Below are 13758 nucleotides of genomic sequence, written 5' to 3' on the forward strand. Positions count from 1 at the left end.
AAGAGGTCAAGTTTGCCTAGAAAGGGGCGTGTGTGGACGTGAAGCGTGGAGTGTTCAGCTAGGTCCAGGCTGCAGAAGGGGGGCCGTGAATGCCCAGCTGGGCATTCACTTGGATCAGCAGGTGATGAGGAACCAGAATGGAACTCTGCTCTGGGACAGCACTGGTCACAGGGAGGAAGGACTGGGAAGGAGGACTGGTGGGGAGGCTGGGGAAGAGTCCAGAAAGGAGGATTTGAGAGCCTGAGACATGAGGAGGGGAGAGGAGGAGGTGAGGCATGTTAGGGTCACGGCGGAGACTCAGCCAAAGGGGAAGGAGGAGTGGAAGGTTACTATAGCTTCCAGCCTAGCTGGCCACAAGAGTGAAGAACCACTGGTATAACCAAATAATTCAGGAAGAGTCATTGTCATTAAAAAATTTGAGGCCAGGCACAGTGGCTCACGCCTGTAATCCCAGCACTTTGGGAGGCCGAGGAGGGCAGATCACCTGAGTTCAGGAGTTGGAGACCAGCCTGGCCAACATGGCGAAACCCAGTCTCTACTAAAAAAAATTAGCCAGGTGGGGTGGCATGCGCCTGTAGTCCCAGCTACTTGGGAGGCTGAGGCAGGAGGATTGCTTGAACTTGGGAGGTGGAGGTTGCAGTGAGCCAAGATCACGCCACTGCACTCTAGCCTGGGTGATAGGTGAGACTCTATCTCAAAAAAAAAAAAAATATATATATATATATATATATATATATATAAAAAACACCTATTAAACCCTTGTAAATCATCTGAATTAACGGTAAAATGTTCCTCTGTATAGACCGATTACAGAAGGTACAAATAAATGTCCCTTGAGTTACCTCTGAATGAGCTGCTGGAAAAGACTGAAGGTGCGGTCCCATAACACTTGTTTGTTTTTTGTGATAGGGTCATGTTCGTAGGTGTATTTCTGTTCCAATTCCTCCAACTTTTTAAGCTGCTGCCGAACTTGCTGCAGACTCTCCGCAACTATAGTGAACCTGGGAAGACACAAGACACAGATGTCTCTATGAGAAACAGTCCAGAAGCAGCCTGGATTAAAGGGAATCATGGTATATTAGTCCATTCTCATGCTGCTAATAAAGACATACTCGAGACTGGAGAATTTATAAAGGAAAGAGGTTTAATTGACACATAGTTCCACATGGCTGAGGAGGCCCCACAATCATGGCAGAAGGCAAATGAGGAGCAAAGTCACATCTTACATGGTGGCAGGCAAGAGAGTTTGTGGAGGGAAATTCCCACTTATAAAACCATCAGATCTCGTGAGACTTACTCACTACCATGAGAACAGTATTGGGGGAACCACCCCCATGATTCAATTATCTCCACCTGGCCCTGCCCTTGACACATGGGGATTATTACAATTCAAGGTGAGATTTGGGTGGGGACACGGCCAAACCATATGGCATGGAAACCAACAAGTGGTTATATGCAACACAAAATGTCACCTAGGATGCCATGCTCTGCCCTCTAGGGAAAAACAAAGGGAACGAGGCTTGTGCCAGCAGTAGAAGCTTTGTTATTTGAGGAGTACAACTAACATGCACTGAATGATTACAGCCTACATCAAAAACTTCTACACACCACTGAGGCCTATGTGAGGAGAGATGGGTGGAGGCAGGGCTTCTAGGTGATCTGTGACTGGTGCAGGGCAAAGAGGAGGCCAGAGGCAGGGAAAACAGCAAAGCAGGTGCTTCCAGGTGATGCAAGAGGCAGCAAAGAGCCACTGCAGGTTCTGTCAAGAGAGTGGCATCAGCAAGCAGTGTCTCGGCAGGACCAGTCAGAGATGTGGGGCAGAGGGGCAGGAGGAGAGACAGAGATGGGAGACAAGGCCGGGGACAGGAAGAGAGGAAGGAATGATGATTCTGGTTTCACTCAACTGAAAGGAGAAGGCAGTATGCTCAGTCTAGACCCTAAACATAAAAAGCCAATGAGTAAACCCAGTGATTGCTCTTAGTCTTCCTTCCTTGCAGTCAACTGCTAACAGCAACACAGGCTGGGGAAACGCTGTTTTATTCACTTGCAGTAATGACAGAAGAAAACCTTTTAAAAGTGTCTTCTTCCCTGGGAAAAGTATCTACTTCACTTTCTGATTTTGCTCGATTCCAGTTCAAAGCCCTGGGACAGCAGCCCTTCGTCAGGAAAGGAGAAGGCAGGATAACGGCTGGCTGAGTTCCAGCGGAGAAGCTAAACCAGTGTCCCCAACTCTGCTTGCACACAGAGAAAATGACAGCACAGTGGGAAAACTAGAGGGCATGTGTGTCCCTACAAGAGGCTCCTGTGGTCTAGGAGGACCACTAGGGGGCTCTAAACACCCCAGGGCCTCCCTGGCCACCTGAAGGGCTTTAGGGTTGTATGTATCCCTCAAGGCACATGGGGTGCACTGGGCTCAGAAGCTCTGCTCTAACCCACAAGAAATCTGGGGTACCTACAGGCAATTCACAGAACAAAAATAAATGGCTGAATATTAATTGTGATTTTTTTAAAAACTGGCAATATAGAAAATAACCTCGTGAGATCTCTGGTCCTTGGACCCTTAGCAATTGTCCCAGGCCACCTTCCCTCATGTTCACTCTGTGATTCCAAGTTCAGCTCCTGTTGCCCCTCACCTGGACCACACTAATATGCTAATAGTATTCCAACTGGTCTTTCTGTCTCTATCCTATCCTCCAGGCTGTGGCCAGAGTGCCCTTTCTAAATCAAAGATCAGAGAAATACATCTCCTGCTTAAGAAAAAAGCCTGCCTTGGCTCAGCAGTACAGCTGCGTACATCCCCCATTCCCAGCATGGTGCTGAGAACCTGCACCATCAGGCTCCAGCATCTCCCACCGGGTCCACTTTCCTTCCCATCTCCCTGGACACCCCACTCTCCAGCCACCCAATACAGCCCCTGCAGTCTCCCACATGTGTGCCTTTGCACACGCTGTGCTCTGTGCTGGAAAGCACTTCCCCTTGATCTACGTGGAGTAATCCTAGTGACTTTTGAGTCAGCACAAGGCCACTTCCTCTATGAAACCTTCCCTGGAGATGCTTTCCTTTGTCCTCCACAGAATTCTGATGGCCTTTTGCTAGAGCACCTGGATACTTTTACCACACGAATTATTACCATGTCTACATCCCCCCCTCCACACTGAGAACTCCTTGTTGGCAAGGGCCAAGAATCACTCATCCTTGTGTGCCCAGGTCCTACAGTGCCCGGCACACAGTAGGCATTTAATAAGTATTACTGGATGGATGACTGAATGTTTCCTAAAAAACTATTCTGTAAGCCTAGAAAAATGCCTCAAGCTATCTTGTTTTTAAGGAAACATTAAGAGTCAAGTCATTAAATGTGTTCTATAACGACCATGTCACTGATGTTTTGTACAGTCAAACGACACCCCATGGTACAGGAGTGCTCCAAACCAAGCAGACGTGGCTGAACGTGGCGAGAGTCATGAATAACACTGTGCTTTCCAAGGGAGTGTTTCCAGGGTAAGCAGAAGCTGGACTATGTCAAACTCTATACTAATGTTTTGACAGGGTCCATTCAACTAACACAGCTCAAAGGTACATTTATGTGTTTATGTGGTTAGCCAGTCAGCTGCCAGTTTTCTGCTTTGGAGAATCTTACCAGTTCTGCAGCTGATCCAAGCAAGCATTGGGCGGCCCCCCAATACAGGCGCTCTGCTGTCTCCGCTTCCACTCCACTAGTTCATCATTAATCAGGGCATTCTGGGTAAGTTCAGTGACATTCAGCAACTCTATTATTTTGTGAACTACTTCCTAAAGGCAATAGAAGAAACAAAGTGAAATAAATTCATTTTTAATCACTGAATTTTAAAATATTTTTTAAAAGAAAAGCAAATATCATTTCATTCTCAACTGGGGCTCTAAGCCAGGTGGCTATAATTTTTCCTCTCTTCTAAACTTTGAGTCCATTATTTACAGTGTATAACAAAAGTGGCATGCTATTCTGGAAAGTAAATAACTACCTTTCTCTTATTGTCAAGCATTAAATACATCTTCTTGAGTAACAGCTGTTCTTGTTTCTGATCACTCTTTGCCACACCATTGGTCTCGTGTTCTATAAATTGAGAGACAGCCAGTAAATATATAAAGAAGACAAAACCAACAAAAGCCAAGATTCATATAAATTTAGGATAAATATGACACAAATGCTGCCTAGTGACAGGTCAAAGTTTGGCTTTCTTCGATCTTTAATGAACATGAAAAAAAGTCCTAAGTATAACAACTAGACACACTGAAACAAAATACTTGTTTTCAAAAATTAGCCGGGCGCAGTGGCAGACGCCTGTAGTCCCAGCTACTCGGGAGGCTGAGGCAGGAGAACAGCATGAACCCGGGAGGCGGAGCTTGGAGTGAGCCGAGATCTCGCCACTGCACTCTAGCCTGGGCGACAGAGCGAGACTCCGTCTCCAAAAAAAAACAAAAAAAACAAAAAAAAAACAAAAAAAACTTGTTTTCAGTGACCCATGTAAATCAGACATAGTAGTATCTGCCACTTAAGACACTGTCAGGTAATTACCTAAATAAATGTAAATAACATTAATAATAATGTTATTATTATTATAAAAATAAATGTAAATAATAAAATGTTTTATCTGAACAGAATTCAGATAAAAAATGTATACAAAGCATAGCTGTAGCTTTCAAAGAGAAGTAGATGAGTAGGAAGTGGTAGTTGAAGTTGCTGTCTCTTATACTTTCTACCCAAATCATACTGATAATCTCTGCCTATGAACCATGGTATACCCCAGATGATGAATAGAGTAACAGCAGTACCCTACGTGTCCTACACAATGTACATTCTTGAGATCTTTTCTGTTGCTACTCTCATTAAAAACACGCAACAGTAAGAAAATACAGTAAAACTGCTTTAAAACATGAGAAAAATACTGAGCTTATCTGCTGTGTATACACGTGGCCCTGCAACGTTTGAAGAAACCTGAGATATTAGGGCAGGGGAACTCCACATATCTATCGCTCTGTGTCAGTCAGTGGGCTAGGCGCAATAAATATGGTGAGTAACACATAACCAGTGGTTATCAAGTAGGGGTCACTGACCCCTAGGGGACTTTTGGCAATCTCTGGAGACAGTTTTGGTTGTCACTAGTGAGGGCTCCTGGGTAGTGCTACTGGCATCTGGTGGGTAAAAGTCGGGGATGCTGTTAAACACGCTACAATGCCAGGACAGCCCCAACAACAAATTAGCCCGAAATGTCAATAATATTGGATGTTGAGAAGCCCTGGCCTGGGTTATCAAGGAAGAATTCAGAGTCATAAAATACTCGGCAAATAGAAAGGAGTAATCATCTTCGTTATCTAGTGTGAACAGAAAAAATTGCAGCCAACGGGCACCACTTCAGTTGTGAACCCTTACCTCTGTTCTGCAAGGTTTTGCATTTGAAGTCATATTCATCTTGTAAATCTTCCAGGCTCTTGATTTCATGCTCTATACACTACAAACAAAGATGTAAACATGTTTTCTACTGATCAGCAACTTCCAAAGACTTTAGGCAACAGAGTATTGCTTCTATGGAACCCAGAGAAACACGAAAACAATTCCATCTCCCCCAAAAAGAGATCTGACTTGGACAGTTCTAATCATATACATGAAATAATTTCGGTTTCATTAATAAGTATGTCATAACATTTTTAAAAAAGCAAACGTACAATAATTCTCAAACTGATTTGTATGTCCTTAACCTGGTTCCAGCGCCTAAATTTTGATTCTTCCTCATCATTTTTGAGACTACCTCTGAGATATGATTTAAGAACTCCACTGTGAAGCCCACAGCAGGCGGGGAAAAAGCTCACAGAAAATTTCCTCATTCCTTCCAAGTAAGAAAAGTGACCATACATCCCTGCTTTACCGGGATAGACCTGGTTTCATACTTGCTGTAATTATAAACAGTGCCCTCTTGGCGGCTCAAATGCATCTCCATCTGGACAATAAATTGTATGTTCATTCTACAAATAAGCCTCATTTGTTTGGGATTTGGTCACATTTCCACATATTCTTCTCTGGATTTCCATGGCTATTTCTGGACTGGGCTCACTCGGTTTCTACTTTAATGAAATGTTTCCCTAGGAGACCGCAAGATGAAGTTGCTCCAAAGAATGTGGAGTTTGGAAAGATGCTGTCTGAAGCATGTAAGTCAAGGCCATACTGCTATTACCCAGAGATCCACAGAGGACCAAACCCCTAAGCTGGAAGGCCTTTTCCACAAACACAGGCCTCTGTGAAAAAGAACTCCTCAAACCCTCCCCACACCAGCCCTAACAGTGGAGAGGAGTAAATGCGCACCATCGAGGACGCCAGAGCAGCCCTCTGCTTCCATAAATTGACTTGGAAGTTGTATCCTAAAATTGCTGTGGATGTCTTAATCAGAAATGTATCCAAATTTCTTTCAATAAAATGTATTTTTGTTCCTCTTCCAAGTCTTAGGATAAAACAGATGACTGGGAAGGATGGGCCATGTTTATCCTGGGGCACTGTGATTTGAGAGGTGTGGACATAAAGGCCCATTTAGAGCAGCAACATCTCATTTACTGGGTACTGGGCAAAGTCAACATTTACTGCATGATCTTTCAGGGAAGAAAAAGCTAAACTCAATGTTTGGCAGTTATAAGAGGCCATTCAAAAAGTCTATCTGGTCATTGATTTTGCCAATTTGTTTACTTATAGCTTGAGACTTCTGCAAAATTTTTCTTCCCAACTACTTAAAAGACTGAACTCAGTTACGAGGTTTACACCCCAAGCAATTGAAACCTTTTTTCCCCTACAGAAAGTTTCAGAATAAATGCATGTGTTTACTCAATACTCACCATAACCTTGTCCTTCACATTTCTGACTTTACTGTCAAGCTCTTTCTGTTTGTCTAACATCACTGTGCTCTGAATATTCCCCGACTGAGCCTGTAATGGGAAGGGCATGATTATAGCCATCGTTTTCTTCAGGGTGTGTACTTGCTGGTTACACTCCAAAGTCAAGTCCCCACTTGCCTTCCAGATCTTCTGACATGTACTACAGGCTTCCTGCTTATGTGTCAATATGAAATTTTTCCCAAGGCCCTGGAAAATGCTGGCAAACTGTTAACAAGGTTACAAAAAAACTAGGCTCAATTCATGTCTAAAATAAACAGTATTTCTGGGAGTTTCCATTAATTCATACAGTTGCATGGTACCACGCTGGAATTTAGTTCACGGTTTCTCAGATACTATACACAAGATTACTCTCATTAACTCAGTCCTTATTTATCTTAAAGCTTTCTGATTCAAAGTGTGGTCCTCAGACCAGCAGCATCTCACCACCTAGGATCTTGTTGGAAAATCTCAAGGGCTAATATGATTAGGCAATCAGAAAACCCTATTTTAACACAATTCCGGGTGATCCAGAGGTATACTGAAATATGAAATCACTCCATTAAGGCCATCAATGAAAATCTGCTACTATAAAGTCAATAATGAATATAAACCCAGACTTGCCTGGGAGTATTCAGTCCTATTTTTGATAATCAGAACACTCAGAAGTGACAGGGTCTCTACTTGCTTCATACACCAGATGTACCCTGCACATACTAGGTACTAAGTAAATGTCAGGCAATGCTCTAGGCTCGGGTGTTAGAGTGGTAACCAGTGATCCCTGTTCTCATAGAGATTAAATTCTAGAAAGATGTTATTTTTTTAGAGTTAAATCCCCCACACAGCAAAAACTGTGCTTGTCAACCTTTCTTACACAGTGCCCTATACAGCACAGATTCTACGGGGGTGTTTTTATATGTGCAATTGTATCATCTTTTCTTCATGTCTGGAATTTTCCTTATATTAGAAAGCCTTTCCCTATTGACATTACATCATTCACTCATTTCCCTAGCACTTGCAAGGTTTCCTTTTTTTCTTTTTAACTTTTAGATCGCTGATATATTTGTTTATTCTCATGATCAGAGTGAAGTATGGGTCCACTTTTTGCTTTCACTTTTTTTCCAGTTAGCTTTCCATTTGTCTTAACAGCATTTACTGAAAAGTCCATTATTTTCCCCAGTGCTCTGAGCTGCCAACTTTATCACATGAATTTCCATATGCACACGGGTTTCCTTCTAGATTTTTCTCTTCTTTCCCATTGGCCTTTTTATTCATAAGCCTGAACCCTTGAAGGATGTTTGACTATAGAGGATTTATAGTCTGTCTAGTAGGGCCAGTCCCATTTCATTGCTCTACTTGTTCAGAAGTTGCCTCGCTACTCTTGCATGTTTATTTTTCATAAATTTCAGAACAAATTTGTGTAGCTCCAGAAAACAACTTGTTGGTATTTTTATTGGAATAACATTAAAATTACAAGTTAACTCAGGGAGAGCTAACATCTTTATGATGTTGTTTTTAATTCTTATGCTTCTAATGGTTTTCTCTTGTCTAATTGCATTGGCCAATACCACCAATACGATGCTAAATAGCAGTGGAAACACAGCATCCTTGCTGTGTTTCTGACTTACTGGAGTTTTCCCAGTTAGGTAAGATACTGTCTCTAGAATGGAGATATATATATTTTTTTGTGTTAAAGAGGTACCCATCAATTCCTATCTTATTCAATGTTTTTATGAGGAATGAGTATTGAATTCTGTTAGATCTTTTCAGCTTCTGTGGAAGGAAGTAAATGCTTTTTTCTCCTTGTAGCTATTAATTTAGTGAATTGCATTAATAGGTTGCCCAGTCATGGACTACCCTTGTAACCTATAATAAATCATATTTGGTCATGTCCTTTCTTAATGTAGTATTTAATTCTGATCCCTAATATCTTATTGAGGACTTTTATATTGATACTCATAAGTAAAATTGGTCCATAATTTTTTGTTTTATCTTTATCAGGCATACGTCATCAAAGTTATTCTCTCTTCATAGGAAGTTTTCCTTCATGTTACATATTCTCCAACAGCAGAAGTTCAAAGCATGTGAATTGTATCAGCTGTAAAGTGTGTATTAGAAATACATGAATGTTACTGGTATCCTCTGTAAGTCCAAGGTGCCACATATCACTCAGTGACAAAAGGGGTTTCTCTGGGCGGTTGGAATAAGTTGTCACTTTGAGGAGTTCCATACAGCTTTCTGCCTGTGCAGGGAAATCTTTGCTGTTGTCTAATTCTGACATGGTTTGGATCTGTGTCCCCACCCAAATCTCATGAATTGTAATCCCCATTGTTGGAGGTGGGGCCTGGTGGAAGGTGACTGGATCACGGGGACAGTTTCTCATGAATAGTTTAGCACCATCCTCTTGGTACTATCCTTGTGATCACGAGTTCTCACAAGATCTGGTTAAGTGTGGAGCACCTCTCCCCTGCTTCCTCCTGCTCTGGCCATGTGATATGTGTGCTTCCCCTTCACCTGCTGCTATGACTGTAAGTTTCCTGAGGCCTCCCCAGAAACTGAGCAGATGCCAGCACCATGCTTCCTGTAACAGCCTGCAGAACCATAAGTCAATTAAACCTCTTTTCTTATAAATTACCCAGTCTCAGGTATTTCTTTATAGCCATGCAAGAACAGACTAATACAACTTCTAAGCCAGCAGGATGTGGGCACGGTGTCCTGTGGGCTTTGTAACAGCTGGGACACTACACCTAGAGAGAGGGACCAGGCCACTGGAGAATTCTGACTTCCCAGGCCTCCTCCCAAATGACCAAGGCTCGGTTTAGAGAACAGGGATATAAACAATGGCTGTAAAACAGCAGCTACATCCCCAGCTTCTACATCCCCTTTCTACTGACTTGCTGGGAGATGCTTGGTGGAAAAACCTGGTGACTGTGGCAGGGCCTAAGAAATCTCCTGCTTCCAACTTGGGCAGTAGTCCCTCCAAGTCACTCAAACCCTTGGTGCTCTCTTACCCCTTCCACTCATCCCTCCCTGCTTCCCTCCACCCTGCCCCCATCTGCTAAGCAGATGCTTGGCTGCTCCTGTACACTTTAGTACTGATACCACTTTCACAGTGAGTCCTTAACTTTTTAACTTTCTAAGAAACCAGGAGTACTGAAACCACGGGAATTTCAAACACTGAAGTTGGAAGGGACTTCGGCTGTCATTGACTCTTACTTTCTCGTTTCACTACTGTACCTCTAGAGACCTTGTTTGGATGGGAACTTGGTTACTCCAGACCCCAGAGCAAAGAAAAGTCTTCTGCTCAGGAAGGGGGTCCTTTCCAATGGAGTGAGCAGTTGTCCAAGTAAGGGAATAGGCACTCCATGGGTGTGAGAAGTTCCAGCCAGAAAGCCCTCATATCCCATCCCACAGATTAGAAAACTGAAAAGTGACTTCTCCAGTGAACTAGTTTTAGAGTTGGACAATACTGGGTTTAAATTCCAAACCTACTTCTCATTAGCTCTGTGGCTCTGAGTGAAGTACCTGACCTCTAAACCTTAGTTTTCTCATCTTTAAAATGGGGATAAGAATACCTAACTTCAGTGATAGTTTCGAAAGTATTTACTCAAATGAAATAATGTTTATAAAGTGCTTAGCACAGGGCCTGAAACATGATAAGCACTCAGCATATGGTAACCATTAGTCCTTAAGAACACAAAGATGGAACAGCAAAGGAAGCTTAGAATCCACCTCATGTCTTTCCCTCCCACCTGAAAGAAATTCTCCCCATCCCTTCAGACCCTATGGACCTAAATTTTTGTCTAGACATGCAACTAGCTTTTTCACCACAAAGAAAAAAAGAAAGAAAAAAACTTAGTGTGCTGTAAGACAGCACACGAAACATTTATAGTCTACTACAGTGTGTATAGCATAATATTCTCTTAAATGTATTTTCTAAAAGCTCTTATATTAAAAAACAATGGGAACAATAATTTCCCATCTCGGCATGTCTATAGAATTTTGTGGTCTCTAAATGATCTGAACTAACTCGGAATTTTGCATGTTTTTAACTTGTTGAATCTGTTGAATCCCCATGTACCTATCACAGTTTCAACAATTAGCATTCATGGATGGCCTTGTTTCATCCCTATTCTCCTTACTCTTCTAGTCCCCAAATGGGATTATTTGAAGCAAATACCAGACATCACACCATTCCATACACATATACTTTAGCATGAATAGAATATACACAGTCATGTACCACATAACAATGGTTCAGTCAACGATGGACCGCGTATATGACAGTGGCCCCATAAGATTAGAATGGAGCTTTATGGGGGTACCACCTTTTATCTTTTACACACTATCTGTACTGTACCTTTTCTATGTTTAGATACACAAATAACATTGTGTTACAATTGCCCATAGCGTTCAGTACAACTTCATATTGTACAGGTTTGTAGCCTAGGAGCAATAGGCTTTACCATATAGTGTAGGTGTATGGTAGGTTATACCACCTGGGTTTGTGTAAGTGCACTCTATAATGTTTGCACAAAAACGCGATCACCTAGTGGTGCATTTCTCAGAATGTATCTGTGTCATTAAGTGATGCATGTCTGTATTAATAAAATAAAGTTACTTCAACAAGGGGGGAAATGGTGAAGAAATGTTTCTGACCTACCTAGCCAATAGTTGGCTGGATAACTTTGGAAAGGAGGCACCTATTGTGCCTTTTCCCTTTCCCTGACATCCCCAGACACCCAGAAACTTCCCTCACACCCCAAGAAGGCTTTGCAAAGGTGTTCACGGACTCAGGTGTCCTCTGAGAGGCTCAAAACAATCCCCAGATTACCTACATTTTTAATGGGGAGGGAGCTCAAAAGCTGGTAAACCTTCAAGATCCAAAGCCAGGGGATGAGGTTCATGTGGGAGAGCAGGGGTCACCTACTCTGCTGCCAATGCCATCTCTGGGCCAAGGGGCCAAATGTGAGGATGACATGCTTGCAGCTGGGGGAAACAGGTTGTCCTTCTGCCCATCTTTGCTCCTGGCTGTCCTTTCAAGTCTATTAGAAATACAGAGGAGGCCCACGCATACTACTTTTAGGATGGAAGCCCCATATAATCAAAACTGCCGGCTGAAAATCTCCCAGGTATATGCCAGGTTAGAGACAGGCACACCTCTTTCAGAGGAGACAACCTGGCCAGCTTCTCCTCCAGCGTTGATATACACCTTTGTTCCCTAGGCTGGGTACCAGATGAGCTAGCCAGCTTGAGTTTAGAATAAGCAATATGTATCTTTACATGCTCAGTTCAGCAAGATGCTATCAGTGTGACAAGAAGATGGGAACTATACGCCTAGGGAAGTGACAGGATTACAAGGACTGGGACAAATGCTCAGGCAGTGTGTGGAGAATGGCATCCTCCACCACACCTAAACTCCCTCCCTCTCCACTGTCACACAGTTCACTTCGGTAGTTATTTGTTGGTGAAATGCACACAGGATGCATACTGTGTCCTCTGGCATCCATATAGCAATGGGCTCCTCCAGAACAATCCATAACATGGTGGCTTCACACTGCCTGCCTGTTGGCTTGTTGTCACCACCCCAGTGCTCAAGAAAGGAATACTAAATGCCATAGCAAATTCAAAACTCTGCTGAACCCTGACAACTAGGAAGGTTTGTATTAGGATTAATAAAACAATGATCAAAAATCTTGATACTAGTACAACTCTGACTCATTTACTGTTTGATGCCTTGAATATTTAATAGGTATCTTGATGTTGCTCAAAACAAAGCCCTTGATTTTCCCATCAGCCTCCTTTTCTCTCCACAAACCTATTGAGTCCTACAAAACTCCTGCCCCTGCCCCCTCCTTGCCTTCCCAGCTCCGTGTACAGCATTACCATTTTTCAAGGGGTTCTAGTAGCTGCTGTAGAGCCATCCTTGACTTTCTGCTCTCACTCCTGCATCTAATCCTTCAACATAAGGATCCTTCTATATTGGTATCACATCCAAAGCATAACCTGAATCTGTCCACCTCTTCCTACCTCCACTGATTCTACTGAGCGCAAGCTTCCACTGCCTCTACCTTGGACAGCTGCAAGAACCCTCTATCTGCCTGCTTCCATTCCTGTGCCAGCAACTCAGAGGCCTTTCCTGACCCTGATCTAAAGGAACAACCCCACTCCCAGCCACTCCATGAATTCAGCATGTTATCTTCTCAGCACTTTATGCTACCCAGAAGTATCTTGTTTATATGTTCTCTCTCCTCGTTAGAACTTAATTCCATTAGATTAGGATCTTTCTTAAAGCCTGGTTCTATAAAATCTCTAAATCTGATTCTCCCACTTCTTGGGGCTATAAAATTAGAGAGATATTCATCATTGCTTTGACATGGGCCCTAATAGTATTTGATGAATGAATACATTTTTATTTTATTACAGTTTATGTGTTCAATGAGAAAAAAGTACCTGATTAAATCTCTGGGCGTTTTCCAGAATTTTCCTTTCTTCCTTCAGACAGCTGTAAATGATCATAGACATCTGGATTGGGTCTTCCTGAAAATTATCCTAGATTTGAGTGGTTAGAACAAAAATAAATTAAAATGCAGAATGTTTACTTTATTGTGTATTGTAAGTTGATATGAATTTGTTTATATTCTCCGGGAAACCTCATCTCTCATCTATTAAATTCTATATAAGCTATGTTTGTTAAAATCAAAATATTTCTTTCACGAATTATGACAAAAATTGCTTTAACTTTCTAAGTGCAGGTACCTAACGTACTTTTTGATTTAAAAACAAGTATTTTCACATATGGTTCACATAATATTTTTACTTTAATATCTTTCCATATTTCTTAAGGCCAATTATCTTTGGTTAGGA

The 13758-nt window shown here is 42.3% G+C and overlaps 1 protein-coding gene across 15 annotated transcripts in view, besides 1 other annotated feature; it reads right to left on the minus strand.

The window, feature by feature from the left end:
• The window catches only part of STAT1 (signal transducer and activator of transcription 1), a 45023-nt gene that overhangs the window by 25070 nt on the left and 6195 nt on the right, over positions 1 to 13758 (minus strand). For 12 of the 15 annotated variants that reach the window (NM_001437284.1, NM_001384887.1, NM_001384880.1 and 9 more), the window contains 6 exons: positions 13345 to 13443; positions 6856 to 6945; positions 5408 to 5486; positions 3999 to 4090; positions 3638 to 3789; positions 843 to 1001 (listed from right to left, as the gene is read on the minus strand). In NM_001437284.1, coding sequence (NP_001424213.1) covers positions 843 to 1001; positions 3638 to 3789; positions 3999 to 4090; positions 5408 to 5486; positions 6856 to 6945; positions 13345 to 13443 — 671 coding nt within the window. The remainder of the gene's footprint in view (positions 1 to 842; positions 1002 to 3637; positions 3790 to 3998; positions 4091 to 5407; positions 5487 to 6855; positions 6946 to 13344; positions 13444 to 13758) is intronic. The other 3 variants (NM_001384890.1, NM_001384883.1, NM_001384885.1) reach the window with 3 other exon arrangements.
• Positions 2343 to 2462: a silencer, noted in NCBI's record as "silent region_12190". NCBI's record gives its function as "represses an Ori minimal core promoter by ATAC-STARR-seq in GM12878 lymphoblastoid cells {active_cell/tissue: GM12878}" and the evidence as "EXISTENCE:reporter gene assay evidence [ECO:0000049][PMID:35858748]".

Source organism: Homo sapiens, chromosome 2 (genome assembly GCF_000001405.40).
Source record: "Homo sapiens chromosome 2, GRCh38.p14 Primary Assembly".
NCBI lineage: Eukaryota > Metazoa > Chordata > Mammalia > Primates > Hominidae > Homo > Homo sapiens.